This window comes from Homo sapiens, chromosome 7, assembly GCF_000001405.40.
Source record: "Homo sapiens chromosome 7, GRCh38.p14 Primary Assembly".
NCBI classification, from domain to species: domain Eukaryota; kingdom Metazoa; phylum Chordata; class Mammalia; order Primates; family Hominidae; genus Homo; species Homo sapiens.
This window is the reverse complement of record NC_000007.14, coordinates 139,909,852-139,934,911: the sequence shown is the minus strand read 5'-3', so window position 1 is coordinate 139,934,911 and position 25,060 is coordinate 139,909,852. Positions and strand designations below refer to the sequence as shown.

The 25,060-nt window shown below is 42.4% G+C and overlaps 1 protein-coding gene across 9 annotated transcripts in view, besides 4 other annotated features; it reads right to left on the bottom strand.

Annotated features, from left to right (window-relative positions):
- Positions 1–25,060, bottom strand: part of TBXAS1 (thromboxane A synthase 1) — a 242,052-nt gene that overhangs the window by 85,382 nt on the left and 131,610 nt on the right. For 7 of the 9 annotated variants that reach the window (NM_001130966.5, NM_001166254.4, NM_001314028.4 and 4 more), the window contains one exon: positions 23,591–23,687. The exons of 1 other annotated variant lie outside the window; for it this stretch is intronic. In NM_001130966.5, coding sequence (NP_001124438.2) covers positions 23,591–23,687 — 97 coding nt within the window. Of the gene's footprint in view, positions 1–20,882; positions 21,848–23,590; positions 23,688–25,060 lie in introns of those variants that run through there. One more of the 9 variants, NM_001366538.2, reaches the window with a different exon arrangement.
- Positions 17,705–18,004: an enhancer, noted in NCBI's record as "active region_26771". NCBI's record gives its function as "activates an Ori minimal core promoter by ATAC-STARR-seq in GM12878 lymphoblastoid cells {active_cell/tissue: GM12878}" and the evidence as "EXISTENCE:reporter gene assay evidence [ECO:0000049][PMID:35858748]".
- Positions 17,705–19,106: a biological region, named in NCBI's record as "P300/CBP strongly-dependent group 1 enhancer GRCh37_chr7:139615605-139616804".
- Positions 17,907–19,106: an enhancer, noted in NCBI's record as "P300/CBP strongly-dependent group 1 enhancer chr7:139615605-139616804 (GRCh37/hg19 assembly coordinates)". NCBI's record gives its function as "activates an origin of replication core promoter dependent on BRD2, BRD4, P300/CBP, MED14 and CDK7 cofactors, with strong dependence on P300/CBP, by STARR-seq in HCT116 cells {active_cell/tissue: HCT116}" and the evidence as "EXISTENCE:reporter gene assay evidence [ECO:0000049][PMID:35650434]".
- Positions 20,008–21,207: an enhancer, noted in NCBI's record as "CDK7 strongly-dependent group 2 enhancer chr7:139613504-139614703 (GRCh37/hg19 assembly coordinates)". NCBI's record gives its function as "activates an origin of replication core promoter dependent on BRD2, BRD4, P300/CBP, MED14 and CDK7 cofactors, with strong dependence on CDK7, by STARR-seq in HCT116 cells {active_cell/tissue: HCT116}" and the evidence as "EXISTENCE:reporter gene assay evidence [ECO:0000049][PMID:35650434]".

Sequence of the window (25,060 nt, the reverse complement as noted above, 5' to 3'; positions counted from 1 at the left end):
AAACCCAGGAGGCGGAGGTTGCAGTGAGCTGAGATTGCGCCACTGCACTCCAGCCTAGGCAACAGAGCAAGACTCCGTCTCAAAAAAAGAGGTAATTAAGGTAAAATAAGGTCATTAGGGTGGGCCCTAATCCAACATGACTGGTGTGCTTATTAGAAGAGGAGATTGGGACACAGACACACACAAAGGGAAGACCATGTGAGGATATAGGGAGAAGACAGCCATGCACAAGCCAAAGAGAGAGGCTTCCGGAGAAACCAACACTGCTGACACCTTGACTTCAGGCTTCTGATCTCCAGCACTGTGGGAAAAGCAATTTCTATTGTTTAAACCCCCAGCCTATGGTTGGTTGGTATAGTAGCCTAGCAAACTAATACGGGGTTCAAGAAGTTGTCTATACCATGTTGAATGAAAAAGACTTTGCGGCCAGGCATGGTGGCTCACGCCTGTAATCTCAGCACTTTGGGAGGCTGAGGCGGGTGGATCACCTGAGGTCAGGAGTTTGAGACCAGCCTGGCCAACATGGTGAAACTCCGTCTCTACTAAAATACAAAAATTAGCCAGGCGTGGTGGCAGGCACCTGTAATCCCAGCTACTTGAGAGGTTGAGGCAGAAGAATCACTTGAACCTGGGAGACGGAGGTTGCAGTGAGCCGAGATCACACAACTGCACTCCAGCCTGGGGGACAAGAATGAAACTTCATCTCAAAAAAAACAAAAGAAAAAAAAAAGACTTTGCATTGGCCCTCATGGAGTTGGCAGTCTAGAGGGGAAGCAGAGAGTAAGCTCATAAGCTAACAACTAGATGGAAAGTGAATTTTCCTGGAGGGAAAGTGTATTTCTTGGAGAAAGTATATTTTCCTGGAAGGAAAATGGGGCAAGGTGGGACATCGGTGGGGGACATATTTGGGAGGCTTCTCCGAGGTGAGGACTTTGGTCTCCTCATCCCTTCTTCTCAGGCCATTCTGTTTCTTTCTAAAACCAGCTGTCCCACTAAGTGGTCAAAACTGGAGCCCCCACCATTGGTCAGAGTGTCCCCAGCCTGCAGGTTGCGGGGTGTGGGGAGACAGGCGGTTGGGGGACCAAGCAGTCTCAGAACCACATGTGATGCATGGTGATGCTATTTCATTTCACTGTTTTAATTATAGCTGAAACATGAAGCCAGTCATCAGAATTCAAAAGCCTTGTAAAAACTCCTATTTAGAGGAAAATTATAATTTTCTGATAAAATATGAACACTCAAAATAAGCCATAAAACGTAACTGCAAAGTATCTAGAGAGGAGTTAATTATATATTAGAACCAAGATGCTGGGATATTTTTTTCTGCAGAGGAATACCTCTCTATATTTAGAAAGAAATTCTTTGGGAGCGCCATGGCCACTCAACAGAATTATGGCTTTATGGAATTTGGGGAACATAATCCATTTGTTTAGGTTCCAGAGTTGAAGGAGGAAATCATATATTATGTGTATTTATGTAGTGGCAAGATGCAGTCCTGTGGCACACTACATGGAATAAAGCACTTACCTCCAAGGAAAGTGCGGTGATGTTTTCTGGTTCTGATGAGACAGAATAAATTAGAGATAAGAGTGAAGGCTGATTGGATCTCGTACCTATCCTTAAGACTTAAGGGTGAATTTACACTATTTTTTGTCTTGCACCTGAAAGACAAATGTAGTCCTCCTTGCAATATGTCAGCATGGCCTTCACATATCTTTCTCACCAGCATGCCATGACACTGTGCTCACTTGGGCCTGGAAATTCCATTAGAATCTCCCATTTTTTGATGAAATCATTTGGGGCTATTGATTATTGTAATGTTTTTATTTCTGAAAACATTTTATTTATTTTTTTTGAAACAGGGTCTTGCTCTGTCACCCAGGCGGTAGTGCATTGGTGTGATCGTGGCTCACTGGAACCCCAAACTTCTGGACTCAAGCGATCCTACCCTCTCAGTCTCCTGAGTAGCTGGGACTAGAGGTACATGCCACCATGTCAGCTAATTTTGAAGTTTTTTTGTAGAGATGGTGTCTCACTATGTTGACCAGGCTGGTCTTGAACTCCTAGCCTCAAGAGATCCTCCCACCTTGGTCTCCCAAAGTGCTGGGATTACAGGCATGAGCCACTGTGCCTGGCCTCTTTTTGTTTATAGATGTCCCACAATAAGAGGAAATTGATGATTTCAAAAGAGCAGTCAGATGGTAAGGGGACATTGAATCATGTCATTTAAGAAATAGTTGTCAGATTTGGAATTTTTAACTGGAAAAGAGAAGATTTGGAAGATCAGACAGTGGTACTTAGGCATATGCCTAATAAATATTTATTGAATACATACTGCATGGGAGAGGGAATTTAGGTTTTGTTTTTTTTTTTGTGACCCTGAGAAGTGGAATTGGGTTTAATAGAGGAAGCTATGGAGAAAATTTCAGCTCATCTGAAGGAGAACTATCCCAATAGTCAACAGACAAAATTATTCAGATAAGATAACCTGCCTTGAGCGATGAGCTCCACACCCCTGGAGACTGTTCCACTTCTTAGAAATCCTGTACCCAAGGCTTGAGCATGCAGAGGGGTTTGGTCTAAAAGCCTTCCAAGGACTCTTTCAACCCTGAGACTTCATGTCTGGAAAGCCACTCCAGACACTCTTTTTTCTATTAGTTTGCCTACACATTGATTTAAAAAATTGTGGCAAAATACATGTAACATAAAATCCACCATCTTAACCTTTTTTTTTTTTTTTTTTTTGAGATGGAGTCTCGCTCTGTTGCCCAGGCTGGAGTGCAATGGTGCGATCTTGGATCACTGCAAGCTCCGCCTCCTGGGTTCACTCCATTCTCCTGTCTCAGCCTCCCAAGTAGCTGGGACTACAGGTGCCCCATCTTAATAATTTTTAAGAGTACAGTTTGGTGGTATTAAGTACACTCACATGGTTGTGCTACTATCACCAGCATTCCTCCACAGAACTTTTCGCATCTTACAAAAGTGAAACTCTGTGCCTATTAAACAATAGCTTCCATGACCCCTCCACACCTCCTGCTTGTCCACATATATTCATTGATGAGACTTACTGAGAGATGCCTTGAAAGAGACAAAGGATTTTCCCCAAAGGAATGAGTGATATGGTTTGGTTGTGTCCCCACCCACATCTCATCTTGAATTGTAGCTCCCACAATTCCCACGTGTGGTGGGAGGGACCTGGTGGGAGGAAATTGAATCGTGGGGTCACGTCTTTCCTATGTTGTTCTCGTGGTAGTGAATAAGTCTTACAAGATCTGATGGTTTTATAAAGGGGAGTTTCCCTGCACAGGTCCTCTTCTCTTGTCTGCTGCCATGTGAGGCGTGCCTTTCACCTTCTGCCATGTTTGGTAGGCCTCCCCAGCCACGTGGAACTGTGAGTCCATTACCCCTTTCTTTTGTAAATTGCCAGTCTCAGGTATGTCTTTATCAGCAGTGTGAAAATGGACTAATTCAATGAGTAACGAGACTGGTAAGTGTGATGGGAGCCAGACTGTGTATGTCATGCAGGAAGGGGACTCTGCAGAAAGGAGGTCCAGGGACACAGCTTTCGAGGCTCCTGTCTGTCAGCCTAGCTGTGTCCCAAGCCTCCAATCACTCTCTGGTCAAGGGCTTCCAGACTGCAAGCCATGATCAGTCATGAAATCAATGTCATGAGTGGCAACCAGCATTTAAAAAAAGGAGAGAAAGAGACAAGAGATAGACAAGATTAGGAAACACAGAGGAGCATTTAACGTCAGGGAAAGTATTCTGTGGTTATTGAACTTGTTCAAGATATGTGTGTGTGTGTATGCATGTGTGTGTATGTGTGTATGTACATGTATGCGTGTGTATGTGTGTATGTGTGTGTGTGTATTCTGTATCAAAATGTGAATGTGTTTCTTACTGTAGATCATAGTCAAAAAAGCTTGAAAAACCAAAACTAACCCAAACCCCAAACCTAGGAGTTGTTCTCTCTCTCTCAACTACAATCCTGTCAGTCACAATTATTAAATCTCTCTTTGGCCAACTCTTTCCATCCCCACAGCTGCCACCCTGGCTGAGGTCACCATTATCTCAGCCCCTAACTGATTTCCCTGCCCGCAGCCTTGTCACACCCATCCGTACTCCACCCTGTAGTCAGTGGGATCTTTCTAAAGACAAATCTAGCCCTATCCTGGTGCAAACTCCCTAACTTGTTTTATGAGGCCTGGTATGTGCTGGCCAGTTCCCCACCCCTTTCTGAACACAAAGCCTGAAGGAGTGCCTTAACTTCCCAATCCCTTATATAGTCTGAAGTCACAGGGCCTTCTGGAAGCTCGGGTTGCATTTGCTACTTTGGGCTTGCCAGGATAATGCAGTGGTTAAGAACATTGCCTCTAGAGTCAGATGCCTGGGTTCAAATATTGGCTCCATGTGACTTTGAGAGCTGACCTCTCTGGTTTGACCTCTCTACAGTTTCTCAATCTGTAAAATGGGGATAATAACGCTACCGACCTCTTAGGATAGTTGTGAGGCTTCACTCACTTCACAAATATTTATTCAGTGCCTGGTATGTGCTAGGCCATGATTTAGGTGCTGAGGATACCTCTGTGAACAAAATGAAGCTCCGTGTCCTCACAGAGCTTGCATTCTAGTGGGAGAAGGTGGACAATAAGCATGAGAAATACACTGGACGGTACAGTGGGATGGGGCGAGGTGTGTTATTAAATTGGTCAGTTGGCACTGGGCTCCTGCATAGGTGAGATTAGTGCAAAGCCTTGAAGGAGCTGGGGGTTTGGTGGGCATGGGAACCATTACAGCAAAGGCATCATGTGCGTGAGGACCCTTAAGGATGTGGCGCGGCTGGAGGGGAGGGATGGAGGCAGGCCAGAGAGGGCATGGGGGCCTGTGTGTGGAGGGCCTCCAGAATCTTGGTAGGATTTGTACTCCACAAGACACAGGTAGTCATAGCAGAGTTTTGAACAGAGACATATCTTGAGCTGACTTCTGTTTTAAAGAATCTCGCTGTTTGGTGTTGAGAATCAACTGTGAGGAGCCAGAGTGGAGGCAGGGAGCGCCGTCAGGAGGAAGCACAGTGGCCAGGAGAGAGCGGGGGTGGAGGCTCAGGCCAGGGAGCTGGACACAGATACCGGGAGAAATGATCAGCCTGGCATGCTTTGAAGGTAGAGCCAACAGGATTTCCTGATGGATTGGATATGAGGTGGGAGAGAGAAAGACAGGAGTCAAGGATGACTCCAAGGGTTTTGGACTGAGCAGTCGGAATGATGAATGCAGTTAATACATTTATAGCTGTTAGATATGAGTTCTAAATTTCTTTTCAAAGAATCAATATGTCAGTATGTTCAATTTTTTGCCTTCTACTTTTAAACTTAACTTCCTCATAAAGCAACCTTTTTCGATTACCTGCTCCACCCTGACTCATTCCAATCACCTGCTCCACCCTGACTCATTCCTATTACATGCTCTGTCATAGCCATTTTTCCCACGAAACCACCCACTCCATCACTAAATTAGCCATCACTCCATCACATAAATTAGCCAATCGGAATTAGTTTAGCCTGTGTGGTCTAACCCCAGCCAATAGGGGAACGACAGAACAGCAGGGGCCACGTGCGTCAGGGATAAGAACCCCTTCCCCTCCCTTGTCCAAGTGTGCGCTCACCATTGCTCCATCTGTAAGGGCGCACCCTTCTATAGAAGTAACTTGCCTTGCTGAGAATTAAAAAGAAAATTTTATATTTGAGTGCTATTTCTTTTGCGGCACCAAAACTTTATTTATGACACAGCTTTCAGGACAGTCCTTGGCACATAGTGTTGAGATGATGTCGCATTATTCCGTTAGACCCTTGACCATGTCATCTCTCTAGGGTGTGGTCCTTCTCGTGAGCTGTTTTTCTCTTTCTCTGAAACTCTAGATCCCTCTCCAACCCCCTTTCTCCTTTGCCTGCTAACTCTTATTCACTTTCATGAACACAGTTTAGAGAACATCTCCTAAGGGAAGCCCTGTTGACTGGACTTCACCCCAAGGGCTTTGTGCAGATAACAGCTTACTCCCATTTAAAAAAGATTTTTTAAAAAAGTGATCCTTAGGAACAAGTTCACTGAGAAGTAATGTTTACTCATTCTTTTCTTTCCCCCACATAGGGACAGATCTATAGATGTGGGAAACAAAACATTTTGTGATTTCCAAGGACATTCTTATGGGGAAAGAGGAGAAGCAACGGGTTGGTGGTTTCATGGCTGTCAGAACACCAAAGACAAATAAAACTCTATTAATCTGGAATCAAATAGAGACCCACAGATTTCTACACTTATCCCAGTCGAATCGAACATTTTATTTGTTATTTTCATAATGAACTACTGATTTGCAGAAATCACAGCTGAGAATAGTTAATGTGCACAGAGTCACGATTTAACATTAATCTGGATCATCTCATGAGCCAGCATAAACTGAGCCCCAAACCAGATAAAGACTTACAAGAAAGAAAAATTATAAGCCAATGTCACTCGTGAACATAGACACAAAAGTCGTAAACAAAATATTAGGTAATATAGCTCAGTGATAAATTACAAGAATAATTCATTAAGACCAAGTGGGACTTATTCCAAGAATGCAACTTTGAAAATCAATGTAACTTGTTGCATTAACAGAATAAAACAGAAAAACATATACAATCTCAAGAGATGCAGAAGAAAATTGATAAAAACTGACACCCATTCATAATAACAACTTTCAGTGAACTATCAATATAAGGAGACTTCCTTCACCTAAAAATGACATTTACAAAAACACCTGCAGTTAACATTATATTAAACAGTGAAATAGTTAACACTTTCTGAGGCTGGAAACAAGACAACTATGTCCACTATTACACTTCTATTTGACATCATAGAGAGGTCAATAAGGCAAGAAAAATAAATAAAATTTGTAAAAATTGGAATGGAAGAAGTAAAACTCTATTTATTTGTAGATGGCATGATTGTCTAACATAGAAAATTTGAGAAATCTCTATAAATAAACTTCTAGATTCAATATTGAGCTTAAAAATATTGTTGGATACAAATTTAATATACAAAAATTTATTTCTACACATGGGCAACAAACTACTGAAAAATGAAATTTTAAAAATATAACTTACAATAACAGTAAAACTATTAAATACCTACAAAAACATTTGACTAAAGATGTACAAAAGACCTGTAGTCTGGAACTACAAAATATTGCTAAGATAAATTTAAAATACCTAAATATATAGAGGTTCCACATTCATAGTTTGGAAAATTCAACATTGTCATGATGTCAATTCTTCAAAACTTAGCAAGATTATTATAGTACTGTAGTTGTGTTATGTAAACTACTCATATCTTAAGTAGAAAGATGAAAAGATTAACCAATTGAAAATAATAACTACAACAACTTTTCAAGATATAGACAGTACAATAAGATATAAACAAGAAAAAGTTAAAAAGTGGGAAGATTATGTTAAAGCGTAGAGTTTTTATTAGTTTTATTTTTGTTTGTTTATGCAATCAGTGTTAAGTTGTCAGTTTAAAATAATGGTTTACAAGATTATTTGCAAGATATGATAACTTCAAATCTAAAAACATACAATAGATACACAAAAGTGTGTCTATTTTCATGCCTGTAATCCCAGGACTTTGGCTGAGGCAGGCAGAGCACTTGAGGCCAGGAGTTTGAGACCAGCCTGGCTAACATGGTGAAATCCTGTCTGTACGGAAAAAAAAAAAAAAAATAGCCGGGCGTGGTGGTGCACGCCTGTAATCCCAGCTACTTGGGTGGTTGAGGCATGAGAATTGCTTGAACCCAAGAGGTGGAGGTTGCAGTGAGCTGAGATCATGCCACTGCACTCCAGTCTGGGTGACAGAGTGAGACTGTCTCAAGAAACAAAAAACAAACAAACAAAAAACAAAAAAAAGAAACCCTAGAAATCAATAAGAAGAGGAATTTTGGAAACTATACAATTTCCAATTGTTTAATTGGAAATTAAACAATGCTCCTGAATGACCATTGTGCCAATGAAGAGATTAAGAGGGAAATTGAAAAATTTCTGGAAACAAATTATAATGGAAACACAATGTACCAAAACTAATGGGATATGGCAAAAGCAGTACTAGGAAGAAAATTTATAGTTATAAGTGCCTACAGCAAAAAAGTAGAAAAAATTCAAATAAACAACCTAATGATACATCTTAGAGAACTAAAAAAGCAGGAGCTAAAGCCAAAGTTAGTAGAAAAAAAAAGAATAAAGATCACAGCAGAAATAAATGAAATTGAAATGAAGGAAACAATACAAAAGATCGACAAAATAAAAAGTTGGTTTTTTGAAAAGATAAACAAAATTGACAAACCTTTAGCCAGACTAAGAAAAAAAGAAAGAAGGCTCAAGTAAATAAAATCAGAGATGAAAAAAGAGATGTTATAACTGATACTCAAAGGATCATTAGCAGCTACTATGGGCAACTGTATGCCAATAAATTGGAAAATCTAGAAGAAATAAATTCCTAGACACATACAACCTGTCAAGATTGAATCACTAATCCAAAGCCTGAACAGATCAATAACAAGTAATGAAATCAAAGCCGTAATAAAAAGTCTCCCAGCAAAGAAAAGCCCAGGACACCATGGCTTCACTGCTGAATTTTATCAAACATTTAAAGAAGAATTAATACCAATTCTACTCAAACTATTCCAAAAAAGAGAGGAGAAGGGAATGCTTCCAAAGTCACTCCAGGAGGCCAGCATACCCTAATACCAAAACCAGACAAAGTCACATCAAACAAAACAAAACAAAACAAACAAAAAATCTACAGGCCAATATCCCTGAAGAACACTGATGCAAAAATCGTTAACAAAATACTAGCAAACTGAGTTCAACAATACATTAAAAAGATCAATCATGACCAAGTGGGATTTATCACTGGGATGCAAGCATGGCTCAACATATACAAATCAATCAATGTGATACATCATATCAATGGAATGAAGGACAAAAACCACATAATCATTTCAATTGATGCTAAAAAAGCATTTGATAAAATTCAACGTCCCTTCATAATAAAAATCCTAAAAGGCATAGAAGGAACATCAATCAACATAAAAGCCATTTACAACAGACCCACAGCTAGTATCATACTGAATGGGGAAAAACTGAAAACCTTTCCTCCAAGATCTGGAACATGACAAGGATGCCCACTTTCACCACTGTTATTCAACATAGTACTGGAAGTCCTGGCTAGAGTAATCAGTCAAGAGAATGAAATAAACGTATCCAAATTAGAAAGGAAGAAGTCAAATTATCTTTGTTTGCAGATGATATGATCTTACATTTAGAAAAACCTAAAGACTCCACCGAAAAGCTATTAGATCTCATAAATGAATTCAGTAAAGTTGCAGGGTATAAAGTCAACATACAAAAATCAGTAGCATTTCTATATGCCAACAGTGAACAATCTGAAAAAGAAGCCAAGAAAGCAATCCCATTTACAATAGCCACAAATAAAATGAAATACTTAGGAATTAACTTTACTGAAGAAGTAAAAGATCTCTACAATGAAGACTGTAAAACACTGATACAAGAAATTGAAGATACAAAAAAAATGGAAAGATATTCCATACTCATGAATTGGAAGAATCAATATTGTTAAAATGTCCATATTACCTAAAACAATCTACAGATTCAATGCAATCTCTATGTGACATTCCTCACAGAAATAGAAAAAACAATCCTAAAATATGTATGGAAACACAAAAGACCCAAAATAGCCAAAGCCATCCTGAGCAAAATGAACAAAACTGGAGGAATCACAATCCTTGACTTCTAATTATATGACAGAGCTATAGTAACTAAAATAGCATGGCTCTAGCATAAAACCAGACACATAGACCAATGGAATAGAAGAGAAAACCCACAAACAAATCTATACATCTACAGTGAACTCATTTTCACAAAGGTGCCAAGAAGAAATATTGAGAAAAGGACAGTCTCTTCAATAAATGGTGCTGGAAAAAGTGGATATCCATATGAAGAATGATGAAACTAGACCCCTATCTCTCACCATATACAAAAATTGAATCAAAATGGATTAAAGACTTAAATCTGAGTCCTCAAACTATGAAATTACTAAAAGAAAACACTTGAGAAAATATCTAGGACATTGAACTGGGCAAAGATTTCTTGAGTAATACCCCACAAGCACAGGCAACCAACGCAAAAATGGACGATTGAGATTGCATCAAGTTAAAAAACTTCTGCACAGCAAAGGAAACAATCAGCAAAGTGAAGAGACAAGCCACAGACTGGGAGGAAGTATTTGCAAACTACCCATCTGGCAAGGGAATAATAACCAGAATATGTAAGGAGCTCAAACAACTCTGCAGGAAAAAAACCTAATAATCCTATTAAAAAAACATGCAAAAGATGTGAATCGACAGTTTAAAAAAAAAAGACATACAAATGGCAAACAGGCATATGAAAAGGTACTCAACATCACTGGTCATCAGAGAAATGCAAATCAAAACTACAATGAGATATCATCTCACCCCATTTAAAATGGCTTATATCCAAAAGACAGGCAATAACACAAGCTGCCAAGGATGTGGAGAAAAGGGAACCCACATACACTGTTGGTGCAAATGTAAATTAGGACAATCACTATGGAGAACAGTTTGGAGGCGCCTCAAAAAACTAAAAAAACTAAAAATAGAGCTACCATATGATCCAGTAATCCCACTGCTAGGTATATACCCCAAAGAAAGGAAATCAGTATATCAAAGAGATATCTGCACACCCATGTTTATTGCAGCACTATTCACAAGAGCCAAATTTGGAAGCACCTAAGTGTCCATTAACAGACAACTGCATAAAGAAAACGTGGTACATATATACAATGGGAGTACAATTCAGCCATAAAAAAGAATAAAAGCCTGCCATTTGCAACAACATGGATAGAGCTGGAGGTCATTTTGTTAAACGAAATAAGCCAGGCACAGAAGGACAAAATTGGCATGTTCTCACTTATTTGTAGGAGCTAAAAAGTAAAACAATTGAACTCATGGAGATAGTAGAATGATGGTTACCAGAGGCTGGGAAGAGTAGTGAAAGAGTGTCGAGGGAGGTGGGGATGGTTAATGGGTGGAAAAAAATAGAAAAAGTGAATAAGACCTAGTATTTGGTGACTATAGTCAATAATAATTTAATTGCAGGTTTTAAAATAACCGAAAGATCAGCACCATAAGACAGGGCAAAAAAATAAATGATTATAATTGGATTGTTTGTAACACAAAGAAAGGAAAAATGCTTGAGATGGTGGATTCCCCATTTACCCTGATGTGATTATTATACATTGCATGCATGTATCATGCATGCATGATACATGCATGTATCAAAATATTTCATATACCCCATAAATGTATACACCTACTATATACTCACAAAAATTAAACATTTTAAAAATTGACAAGCTGATTCCTGTAAACAGATATATGGAACCAAAAGAACTAGAATAACCACGAGAATTTATACCGCCATCTCTCTCTGTTTCTCTCTCTTGCGTCTCTCTCTCTCTCTCGGACAGGGTCTCGCTCTGTTGCTCAAGCTGAAGTGCAGTGGCAGAATCATGGCTCACTACAACCTACGCCTCCTGGGCTTAAGCAATTTTCTTACCTCAGCCTTCTGAGTAGCTGGGACTACAGGCATGCGCCACCATGCCTGGCTAATTATATATATATATATTTGTTTAGTAGAGACTGGGTCTTGGTTTGTTACCCAGGCTGGTCTCAAACTCCTGGCCTCAAACAATTCCCCCACCTTGGCCTTCCCAAAATTATAGGCGTTAGCCACCGTGCCTGGCCACACTGCCATCTTTCAAGATCAATGATAAAGCTATGCTATTTAAGAGAGTGTGATATTGGTGCAAGGATAAACAAAAAGACCAATGAAATGGGACAGAGTCCAGAAGTAGACTCACACATATGATCTCTTGATTTATGACAAAGGTGCTATTCAAGGGGGAATGGGTGGTCTTTTCAACAATGGTACTGGGGCAATTGGATATTAATACAGAGAAAAAAAATCAGCTTTGATCCATACTTCACTCTATACACAAAAGTTAACTGGAGATAGATCATAGTCCCAATAGTGAGAGGTAGAACCATAATGATTCCAAGAGAATATCTTTGTGACCTTGTATATAAGGCAAGAGTTCTTAAAGAGAATACCAAAAGCAATACCACAAAAGAAGATTTTGATAAATTGGACTTTATTATCAAAGGATATTATTAAGAAAATAACACACAAACCATGGACTGGGAGAAGATATTCACAACACATTTATCTGACAAAAGACTCAAGGCAGAACATGCAAAGAAAAACAAGTCAATCAGAAAAAGTCAAACACCTTAAAATAAAAGTGGGGGAGGGGGCAAAGACTCAACAGGCACGTTGTTAAAAAGGAGACTATTCAAATGGCCAGAGAGCATATGAAAAAGTTCTCGGCTGGGCGCGGTGGCTCACGCCTATAATCCCAGCACTTTGGGAGGTGAAGGTGGGCAGATCACCTGAGGTCAGGAATTCGAGACCAACCTGACCAACATGCAGAAACTCCGTCTCTGCTAAAAATACAAAAATTAGCCGGGCATGGTGGCACATGTCCGTAATCCCAGCTTCACGGGAGGCTGAGGCAGGAGAATCGCTTGAACCCAGGAGGCAGAGGTTGTAGTGAGCTGAGATCACACCATTGCACTCCAGCCTGGGCAACAAGAGCAAAACTCCATCTCGGGGAAAAAAAAAAAAAAAGAAAAAGAAAAAGTTCTCAATGACATGGTCACCAGATAAATACAAATTAAAACTGTGGTGAGATACCACTACTACCCAGCCCCTGGAATAGTTACAGTGAAAAATAATGGCAAGATGAAAGTGCTGGCTAAGGCTGGAACAACTAGAACTCCACTTTATGGGAGTATAGATTGGCTCAACCCCTTTGGAAAACTGTTTGGCAGTATGTACAAAAACCCACCATGCACCTACTCTCGTGGGCTAGCGATGCTGCTCCTAGGTGTTCATAAATGCCTGTTGATATAACAACCTAATTCATAATAGCAAAAAACTGGAAACCTATATGTTTATTGACAGAGGAATAGATTGTGGTGTTTCTATACATTGGAATGCTACATAGCAATGAAAAATGCAAACTATGTTCACGATCTTGCTCTGTCCCCAGGCTGCAGTGCAGTGGCACGATCATAGCTCACTATAGCCTCAAATTCCTGGGCTCAAGGCATCCTCTTCCCTCAGTCTCCTGAGTACCTGGGACCACAGGCACACACCACGGGGCCTGGCTAATTTAAAAATTTTTTTTTGTAGAGACAGGGGTCTCACTTTGTTGCCCAGGCCAGTCTCGAACTCCTGGGCTCAAGCAATCTTCCTGCCTCAGCCTCCCAAAGTGCAAAATTACAGGACTGAGCCACCACACCTGGCTATATTAATCTAAATACGTGGTATGGATGACTCTTACAGACATTATGTTGAGCAAAAGATGCCAGAACAAAAGGATACATACTGTAAGTTTACATTTACATGAAGTTCAACAGCAGGAAAAGAGAAATCTATACAAATTGATGTCAGAGGAGTGGTTTCCTCTGGATGGTAGGGATGGGTTGACTGAGAAGAGGCATGAGGGAACCCTCTGGAGTGTTGGAAATGTTTGTGTCTTGATCTGGGTGGTGTCACATAGGGGAATACATAGACAATAATACATTGAGCTTTACACTCAAGGTTTGTGTATGGAAGTGACTTCAATTTAAAAAAATACTAAGGAATAATAAACATTTAATTTCGACAGACTTGAATGCTGGATGAACACTAACAAGACGAAAATCAACAGATGTAACTACAAGGTTTCATATTTAGGTTTAAAATTTGGTTGTTCAGTGCATGTGATGGAAGCAACCTGACCTGCAAAAAGTCGCATTAAAAAGATCTGGGAACCTTCATTGAGCACACGCTTGTCGGGCTGTATTGGGGTATCATCGTCAGGAACAGAGGAGGTCTGTCCTACTGCACTCATGGGAGCAGTGCCTGGTCTCAGGAAGGAGTGTCCTACTGTGATGTGTAATGAAGTTAGACCTCATCAGCCAAACAATGGTTTTCAGACAGTGGTCACATTTTAAGAGAGGTGTTAAGAGCTGACAGGAATCCTTTGGCCCTGTTTTAATTTGGGTTTTTAATCTCAAGCTGGTAACTGGGGTTGCCGCCCTTTGATGACCACACGTTGCGGGTGGATTGCAGTTTCTCTCTCACAGGCTCACGTTAGGCTGCTTGACTTGGGATGATCACACTGCCTTCCTTGGCATCTCTTGCAAGTGTCCTCTGAGACCAGGTTAAAAACTTCCTTTTTTAACATGGATCCCATTAGGATATCAAAGGGTGACATTTGTGGTCATGTCTCCTCCTTCAAAGGGTGGCCCCTTTTAGGGCCTATGGGCCCTTTGTTTCCCATTTCTAAAAGAGGCAGGAAGGAGAAGGTGAGCAGAGAAAGTGAAAAGTCATTAGAGGGGTGACAACAGGTAAGAGAGGAAAGTGTGGTTTAACTTTGCCCCTTCTGCCCCTCTTCAAAGGCTAGATTAGTGCTGGCAGCCAGAGGGGGACAGAAAACCCAGCAGAGGGACCCCTCGTTGTCTTTACTTGCTCTGCTTCAAATAGCCATGCCTTGGGCATTTAGGAAGATGTGGATGAACCCCACACAGAATGTGTCAAGACCACAGTCTCTGACCCTCCCTGGCCATCCCACAGCAGGAGCTGAATGGCTGCTAGCTTCAATGATCTTGAGCTGGGTTTGCTGCACTTTATGTTTAGGGCTGTACAAGCTCTGCTCTGAATGGTGTCTGTGATTATGCTGTGAATAATGATGGAGCAACTACTGTGTGCCAGGTGCTGTACTGGGACTGGAACTATCAAGACAAAGAATGGAGGGTGGGAGTGGGGTGGCCTATATCACCAATACTTGTCCATCTTACAGCAAACACAGTACTTTTCATATTATTTCATCAACTCTTGGGTCATTCTCCAGCAATTAGGAAACACTGCCCTGAGGAGCAGGTTATTGAAGAAAACCAACACCTCGGCATTCCATGGGTGCATGAAGACAGCAGCCACTTACTGAAGGTTTCTCATGCACCAGCCCAGTGATTCTCGACTGGCCTGGTAAAGCCACACAAGAACCACTGGCTCCTTCCAGAGTGTTGCAAATGCATGGAATGCATTTCTGCTGTAACCGGGTTCATGTATTATCGGGAGAAAGGGATGAAAGGCATGATAGAATATGAAGCTATAGCCACAAATGTTTTCTTGTGTTCTGGAACATGCAAGAAATGGACTCAAGATCTAGATGATCTCTGGGATGACTTGACAGATGATCAACAGTTCTGAAACAGCCACACAAGGCTGAGAGGCCAGCTGAACAGAGCGAGGTGCTTCTAAGGACTCCAAGAGATAGTGTTATACCTCAGTGGTTGTAATGTGAGTACAGAGAGCCAACTTGTTTATGCCAACTAGTCTGCAAAAATATTAATATCAAAAAGAGGACCACGGTCACAAAGACTAGGTACCACTGTTACAAACGTTGTTTCTAATTCTCACACAACCAGGCACAGATGAGGACAGCCATCGTGCAACTTGTCCCCTTCCCACCTGGAGACGTGAAAGACCTGGCACTGTCCCCTCATTATATTATAATCAACTGAGACTCAAGAATTCTGTCACTTGTATAACCCCAAATTCTATACTTGAGGCCATTGTCAATTTATATCTATTGCTATCTGGCTGTACAAAGATTTGAACCAAATAGGGCTTATATTTTGGTGGTTTGAAATAGTAAAGGTGTCCCTTTTACTAAAAATAGAGTATAAAAAAATTAAAATGTAAAAAAAAAATACCAAAAATGAAAACAGTAGTGGTCTTACTCTTCTACATGTCAGTTTTCATTCATTCCCTCTGCTGGTAGAAGGTGGCCATAGATTTGACATCATCTTCGCTCTCTCTGTGGGAGAGTGTGACTGGCCTGAGAGAATGGCCTCCGGGTGAGGTTGTGAGATGTGTCCACAGCTCGAGGGGTCAGCTCAGGGGCATGTGGTGGCTAAAAACAAATTTGGGCTCTATCTGCCTAGTCAGCTTCAGCTGCTGGAAAGGGGCCTCTTCTAATTATGGCAGTCCTGCCTGACGGAGTTCCAGCATTTTATCCACTGGGGAGGAGGAGGAAGCCAGGCGCTTGGAACTGTGCTTCTATCAGCCCCAAAGCTGACAGTGAGGGCCCCTCCTGAGCGGGGAAGGGAATCTGGGGGCTTGTTAACTCTTATCTTTGCAGGAAACTCTCCAACAGATCTCAGCAGAGTTTCTGGCCAGAAGCAGTGTTCAAGAAGGACAAGGGTGTTCCTGATATTGCACTTGACATGCTTGGCTGCGAGAATAAATTTTCCTGAGGGGGCCTAAGAGGGGCTTGTTCCTTGTACCTGAAGCTCCAAGTGGCTCTATGGGACGCTGGTGGGACTCCGTGGCTCCCTGTGGCTGCCAACGGTCACGTGAACTGGGCACCAAACAGACCTTAGGGATTAGCTAGTCTAATGTATTTTACACAGGAGGAAATTGAGAATCAGGAGGTTAAAGGATTGTCTGAAGGCCACACAACTAATAAGAGGTAGCAAATCTGGAATCTGATTTCATTTCTTTAAACTAAAATCAAAGACATTTCACCATACTACTGAGCTATGGCTTAGAAGAGGGAAAATGGGAAGAAGAAAGGGAATGTCATAAGAAGGAGATTGGGGCGGAGAAAGACAGGGAGGATCAGGACTTAGTCACTTGATTTCCATGGAATGTTCTGGAATATATCCATTGAGAGATAAGAATTGATTTTATGGTTTATTTCTCTATTCTCATGCCTAAATTGTAGATATTAATCTCCTGGTTTACACACTTATTTCTACTTCTGCCACGACAAAAGTTAGGGAAATATGGCATAAATATCAGAGCAAGCTTTTACTAATTTCTTTTTGTTAAAAAAATATATAAAGATAGCTTCCTGCTGAACCAAGAGTCTAGTAAGACACAAAAATATGAAATCATTTTCAACAAGGTCTTGAAATTTTAGAAAAATCTCTGCAAGGCAGAGAGAAGTACATTTGAGCATTGAGAATCAACACCACTTAACACTATTCCTGTGTTCCCAAGGCATCACAAGACACTCAGTACTTTTAAAGATGTTAGAATTAAAACTTAGCTACCATGTTGGAAACGAAGCTCAGTGTGTTGTACTGATTAAATGTAATGCCATGGATCTGGCTTTTCTAGGACTTAGCCATGTCCAGACATTAGAAAAGCAGGTGAAATGGGAGACCTGCAGGGGACAGGCATCCCATTGCGACTGTCACCTGGGAATTCCAATGGGGCAGCCCATCCTGCAACAGGAAGCTTCCAGTTCAGATTGGAGGGTTTCCTATGCACAGCAAAGACCTTTCGCCATACCACTGGGCTATGGCTTAGAAGAGGGGGAAATTAAAAGAAGAAAGTGGGTGTTATAAGAAGAAGATTGCGGCAGAGAAGGAGACGGAGGTCACATAAAACAAAGAGGCCTCAAAATAGAGACGGGGGCAGGCAAATGAGGTTGCACACCTGTGTTTCTGGTTTCACTGCCCTCTGTAGTCTGTTTGTGCTTTCAGGAAGAACTTCTCCCTTGCTCAGAGCTGTAGACCCGTAATGTGAGTTGACCTTTCTCAAGAAATGCACAGCTAAAAAAAGTTGGCAAGGTTTGACTGAAGCCATGAGAGCTTCCCTAGGTCATGCATGGCAACCACTCTCACAAGTAAAATCTTGATGCACATGTTTGAACATCTGAGTGTCTTCATTTACTCAATGTTTGATTTAAGAGAAAGAGAACCAGGAACTCCAGGTGAACAGTTTTCAAAAACTGTCAGTGGTTACAGGTGTAGGAATGAGTTCAAGGGGGGCGGTTTTATGGCAAGTCTGCCAAGGGCCCCTCTCTCCTCAATGGATGCCAGCAGGCGGGTCCCTGTGGCCCCCGCACAAGGGCGTCTGACTCACCTGTAGCCCTGAATTGAGCTTTCCTTGCCAATTAGCTCTGCAATGAGCCAACATACTCTTTTCTTCCTTCGATAGGAGGCTGCTGCAGATACAGAGGACAGGAAGGTTTCCAGTGACTAATTTGCCTATAACTTTAGTCATCTTCACCAATGCCAAGGAGTTTGTGGTTTCACAGTGACTCATCCTGCAATGTTCACAGCTGTGTGGAGAGCGAGTGAAGCAGCCCCTGAGAGGCTGAACCTGGGGCAGCCAGGGTGCCGGGTATTGATGGTTCGGGATAAAACCACCCACCACGTCCATCACATGGCTTTGGACGTGACTCTTGTGTGTCAGTGGTGTGGCTCGACCTGTGCCTGGAGAGGTGACCTCTGTGTTGCTCATGAGGACCTGAGAGATGGCACTCCATACTGCCACTCCAGACCAGAACCCACATCTCCAAAGCACTAGGCTTAGTGTTTTGACACATCCCTGACATGCCTATCTGACCAGACCAAGCTAACATGGGCCAAAGACTGGCTTACCTCTTATCACCCTTCCCACAGCTCCCTAACTCTAGGCCTTGATAGGAGGCCAAGAACAAGAAGTTCTGCCTCTGGTTGTGACCATTTCTGCTGAGTCATGTGGACTCAGCTCCATTTTCCACAGATATTTAAAAAAGAGCTGCCCTATGGTTTCATTAGGTACCGTACCTGACAGCAAAGAAGAGCTCATTGAAAATATCTAAATAGAAACATCCGAGTCCTGATGTACCAGGACGACTGAGCTTCTATAAGTGCCAAGAAGATTGATTTGGGTTTAATGATAAGCTGTGGTTGCACCATCATGGAGCAGTTTCAGGAAGCACTGAGGACATTGATAGAGACCTACAAGGTCCACGTGGAAAATGAGCAAGATGAAGCAGAGACATTGCACAGACTCCAGAGGCCCAAAAACTGTGAATGGGAAAGCATGACATTAAGAACTGCCGCTCCGGATCCAACCCACAGTCTGCTCCAGCCAGTGTTCTGGAGTTTGGAAAAGAATATTTCACAGGATGATATTTGAATTCACACATTTGTTCAATGTTGTTGTATGTCAGGGAGCTCCCTGTTGCATCACCCCCACCTCCAGTGAATATGCTCTATGGATCCCTCATGGGATGCTTACGGCTCATGTCAAATTTCAGAGCTAAATCCAGCTTCCCAAATCAGGGCCCTTCTCCACCAGGCTGTCCAGGGACAAAACTCAACGTAACTCAAGCCTGAATTTGTGAGCAGACATGGGCTCTCCCTGTTGGAGAATGAGAGCATGCATTATTTAAATTCCTTTTCACTTAATTTATCAAACTAATATGCCGAGGTATTTTCTGTATCACAAGGGACCGTTTGGTAGCAGCCTGCATGGAGTAAGCATTTAATGTTTACCGAGTGAATGTATAATAAAGCTGAATTGCTGAACGCTTAAGTAAACATGGCCTATTAGAGGGAAGGCAACGTGGTGTCAGTAAGGAGAAATCACGTCTCACTAATCTCCTTGAGTTCTTTGAGCAGATAAATAAGCATATGGATAAGAGGGAACCACAGAACCCAATTTAATTTGACTTTCAAAAACCTGTGAGAAAATCCCACTTTAAAGACTGTTTTTTAAAAAATTGAGTCACTAAGGGTTGTTTTACCATCGATATGGAATTGGCTTAAAGACCATAAACAAAGCTACACATAAGTGGATGCATTCCCAGATGGAAAACTATAAACACTGGGATTTCCTGGAGATCTTATCTATGATGGGTCTTTTTACGTGTTTGTGAATGACCGAGACGAAGAAGACTATATTGCAACTCCAGGTTCAAGTAATACCTCATTCTTCTGGGAGGAATGTCAAGTTGATGGAAATTCCATTCAGTTGGAACAAGAATATATTGGATGCTGAAGAGTCAATATGTGTTTATGTCATGGGGTTTAAAAAAAATACAAGATACAGTTCTTGGCCTTAAAGAGCTAATAATCAAGCTAGAGTGAAAGCCATATCCTCCTTCACTGTAAATACTGGAAGGCACAAGGGGATCAACTGTGACAACGAGTGACACACATGGTGAGCGCTGCCAGAGTTCAGGGAAGGGGAAAAGTGCATGTGGATGGAGGCAGGGAAGGCTTCCTGGAGGAGGCAGTATCTGAGGAGTGTCTTGAAGAACAGCAAGAGTTTGGATGGGTGTGGAAGAGGTGGAGGGTTTTCTTGTGAGAAGCAGTAATGTGTCACCTGCCAAGTACTGTGTAGAGGGAGAGGTTATATGCATGATCCCATGTGGCTTTATGACAGCCCAGTAAGGTGGATCATATCCCCCAACTCCAGGCCTTGAGAGGAGGCCAAGAATAAGAAGTTCTGCCACTGGTTGTGACCATTTCTGCTGAGTCATGTTGATTCAGCTCCACTTTCCATGGATATTTTTAAAAAGAGCTGCCCCAGCTCTTTTTTAAGTTAAGAAATGTGGCCAGGTACAGTGGCTCAGGGCTATAATCCCAACAATTTGGGAGGCCAAGGTGAGAGGATCACCTGAGGCCAGGAGCTCGAGACTAACCTTGGCGACATAGTAAGACCCCCATCTCTGCCAAATTTTTTTTTTTTAAAATTAGCCAGGCATGGTGGCACACACATGCAGTCCCAGCTACCTAGGAGGCTGAGGTGGGAGGATCACTTGGGCCCAGGAGTTTGAGGCTGCAGTGAGCTCTGATCACACCACTGAACTCCAGCCTGGGTGACAGAGCAAGACCGTGTCTCCAAAAAAAAAAAAAAAAAGATATGTGCTCAAGCTCACGTCATAATCAATATGAGCCCCACTGTTACACTGCCTTCAATTCTGAGGCAGTGTCAGCGTGAGCAAGGCAGAGGTCAGGTCTCTCCAGAGCAGGTGAGGGTGAGCAGGGAGAGGCTGGAGTGACGATTTGTATTGGGGAGCAGTGAGAGACAGGGTGGAGCACACACAATGGATCTAAGACACAAGGGCCCTTAAATATCGTCTAGGGAACTTGAACTTAGTCCTGAAGGCTTAATCCTGTGCTGAGTGGAAGAGGACGAAAATTGGAACTCTACTCTGGAGTTTGGGGCACTGGACCTAGTCTGCGTGGAGGGGTGGGTGAGGGGATGGTGAAAGAAATTAGAAACGGCAGACAAATGGCTTGGAGGATAAATTGATCAAAGCTGAGGGCAATATTATTGTGTCCTCCTTGCTTGGACATGTGCATTGAGTATGTCTGCCCCTAGCAGGCCAAATCATTGACCTCTTCTAGGTCAGCTCTCAGGGTCACATGTCCTGGTATCATGGGAGGAAATATGGAGACACCAGTTGGCAAGTGCCGTCTCATGGCTTAGGGGCTCAGACAGTCTCAAGTGCTATGACAGGCTCCTGGGAGTACCTTTACTGCTTGCCAGGATGTGGCTTGGTGGTCCGTGCACTTTGACTTATTGGCTTCTCCAACTTCTTTAATCAGCACTCCTTGCTGAGGCTGATGGAGCAACAAGCTACAGCTGCATTTAATAATCAGAATCAGTTTCTTGACAGACGGCTTCCAGGGGACTTTGAGCGAGGAGATAGCAATGCAGTGTTTGGGAAAGAGAATCTAGAGGCAGCAGAGAAGCAGTTAAACTTCTGCAATTCCTTCGGCCATCCTGAAGGGATGGAGGTAGCAGGCCAGCCGCCTCCCTCCAGGCCACATCCCTCTAGAGGCCACGTGATGTCTGGAGTTGGGCATGATGCTCTGGGGCTGGAAGAAGATGAGCAAATTTTGGGTGAGTGGCCAATTACTCCACTCAACCTTGACATCCTGAAATGTCACTGAGGCAGCTGTCACAGCTTTGGCAGTAAAAAGAGCTCTAGACTTAAGTTGAGAGATGGCACATGAATCCCTGCTCTTCCTCGTGTTAAGCCATGTTACCAGGGTTGATCATTTAGCCTCTCTGAACCTTAGTTTCTTTGTCTATAAAATAGAGATGATAATTGTACTCATCTCATAAGCTCTTGCGATGACAAGGACACACTCTGGATGGCTCACCTAGTTCGGAACACAGGCAGGGGGACTTTCTCTAATTTCTTTAAGACTCAGCCCCAAGCACCTCACACCCAATAAGCTTTCCTCTGTCTGCATCCTGGTGGCCTGGGCTCCCCACCTCAGGAGCACTCACCACACTGCATTGTGCTGGTCCCTTTCCTTGTCTGCCTCCCTCACTAAACCGAGAGTTCCTCGAGGGACACTGTCTCTTTACAGTCAGCACCTACACAGTGCCTGGCATATGGTAGGTATGAAAAAGTTTGCCACATAATCAACAAAAGAATGAATACGTACTTCCCTAAAAGAATGAAAAGTGAGGTCTAATTGGAACCCCCCAAAAATGGTTGGCAAGGTGATTCTCTGAGTTCTCACAAACATGTTTATTAATTCACTTTAGACTTTTTCCAAGAATCAACGTAAAGGTTACTGGTCTTCTCTGCTAGAATGCCTATCTCCCTATTTTTGGAAAATGGTTAGCACTGATATCTGCCATTTTTTCATTCTTTATTTCTTTTATTTATTTATTTAATTTTTTTGAGACAGCGTCTCTGTCGCCCAGGCTGGAGTGCAGTGGCGCGATCTCAGCTCACTGGAGCCCCTCCCACTCCCAGCCTCCCAGATTCAAGCGTTCAAGCAATTCTCATGTCTCAGCCTCCCAAGTAGCTGGGACTACAGATGTGTGCCACCACACCCGGCTAATTTTTGTAATTTTGTAGGGACAGAGTTTCGCCAAGTTGGCCAGGCTGGTCTCGAACTCCTGAACTCAAGCAATCCACCCTCCTTGGCCTCCCAAAGTGTGGGGACTACAGGTATGAGCCACTGTGCCTGGCCTGATCTCTGCCATTTTCTGTCACCTCGCCCATCCTTTGGGATTTCTCATCAAAGATAAATAGTAGGACATTTACTTTCCAAAAACAAAGGGATATGTACATGCATGTAGGCTGGAGACTTGACCTAATGTAAAGGAGCCCTCTTAAAGTTTCCTTCTCTTACTAGGGGACAAATTTCTCTCCTAATTTTGCTTGACTTCCCTTTCCAGCCTTAATACTCTTATACTTTCTGGGAAAGATGTAAGTGCAAGAACCTCAAAATTTTGCTTTCCAACTAATATTTATTAGCCTAGCTCATTCTCCGTCAGTCACTTGGCCTGTGCCCTCTGGATTCCCCCGGCTTTGAACCCAGCTTTAGAAAACCCTCTTGGTTTTAGCATTTTTAATAGCCTCAGCTTCCCTTGAGCTTTAGCTTTCTTGAAGCATTTCTTAAATGTAAATGTTACTCTTTTGTACCAGTCCCATAGATCTCTTTTGAAAAACCGAGTTCACTGAGGAGCTTAGTTTTGAGTGGAACTGACATAAACCTGATCAGAGGCCTGATTGCATCCCCATTGGATCTGACATGCAGTGTCTCCATCTGAGAACAATTCCCCATCCATCTATATGCGGAAAGAAAACTACGTACCATTCTGTTGGTAAAGTTACTGAAGTTCTCAACCAACACCTGCTTGATCATGTCTGGCTCAGAAATAACAATAAACATCCGACGACCAAGATAGTACCTGGGAGGAATAAAAAATGCATTAAAATGTGTTGCATTACCCATTTCTCCTTTCCAAAAAAGAGTTCACGGTAGCTTAGAATGAGGGATAAAAGATAACTAGGAAGTAAAGGTATGGAGACGATGAGGAAACATATGTTCCAATCATAAGCAACCATATAGCTGTGATGATCTAACATCAAATTTCTTTCCACCAGCACTCATGGAATGCCACCTTGCACCGGTCCCTGGAGACTCTGGGTTGAATAAGATACACTCCCTGCCCAAGGAGCTTATTACAGCCTAATAGGAAAGACAGAGCTATACATGTAAATGTAATAATAAAGGGTTCATAAGATCCAGTAGTAAGACAAAGAAGGAAAATGGCAGAGGTCGGTGTTATCCATATTTCCCCAAAACGGAAAGATAGGAATTCTAGCAAAAGACCAATAACCTTTATACCAATTCTCAGAAAAAGTCTAAAGTGAATTAATAAACAGATGCTTGTGAGGAAAGATTAAACCTGCTTGGGAAGAACTGAATATCTGGTCGCCACACCTATATATAAAGGAGCTCAACAGGTACTTTTTAAAATTTTATTTTTATTTTTGTGATGGAGTCTTGCTCTTTTGTCCAGGCTGTACTGCAGTGGTGCTATCTCAGCTCACTGCAACCTCCCCCTCCCGGGTTCAAGCGATTCTTCTGCCTCAGCCTCCTGAGTAGCTGGGATTACAGGCGCCCATCACCATGCCCAGCTAAGTTTTGTATTTTTAGTAGAGACAGCGTTTCACCTTGTTGGCTGGGCTGGTCTTGAACTCCTGACCTCAAGTGATCCGCCCACCTCGGCCTCCCAAAGTGCTGGGATTACAGGCATGAACCTCTGTGCCCAGCCCTCAACAGATACTTAATGACATTAATGAAAATATGGATGAAAGGCTCAGTCAGTCAGTCAGCTGGTGGCGTGAACTCTAACTGGAGATAGTGCGTAAACACATGTCATATTATACTTACAAAAGTACTGGGGGCACGAAAGCAAATCAAGACCCAGTCACAGTTTCCAAGGGTCTGACTATCTGACAGGAGAGACAATTAGGCAATTAATATACAGCGTGATGTTCTGGCAGGCATGAGTGACCCTGGAGGCACACTCAACTCAATGCTTGGAGAAAAGAGACTGAAGGCTTCCCAGAGGTGGTGCTTCCCAAGCTGAGTTCTGGAAGATGAGCAAAAGTTAGTCCAGGAATAAGGGGTGACAAAGGAGGTGAGGGTCTGCTGGCTGGAGGAATCAGCTAGAGCAGTTGAGCCAGGGACAAGCCTGCTTGGGGGAACCGTGAGTGCCGGACTACCAACTGTGCAAAGCAAGCCAGAGTGATGACAAGCGGCCCACTGTGTAAT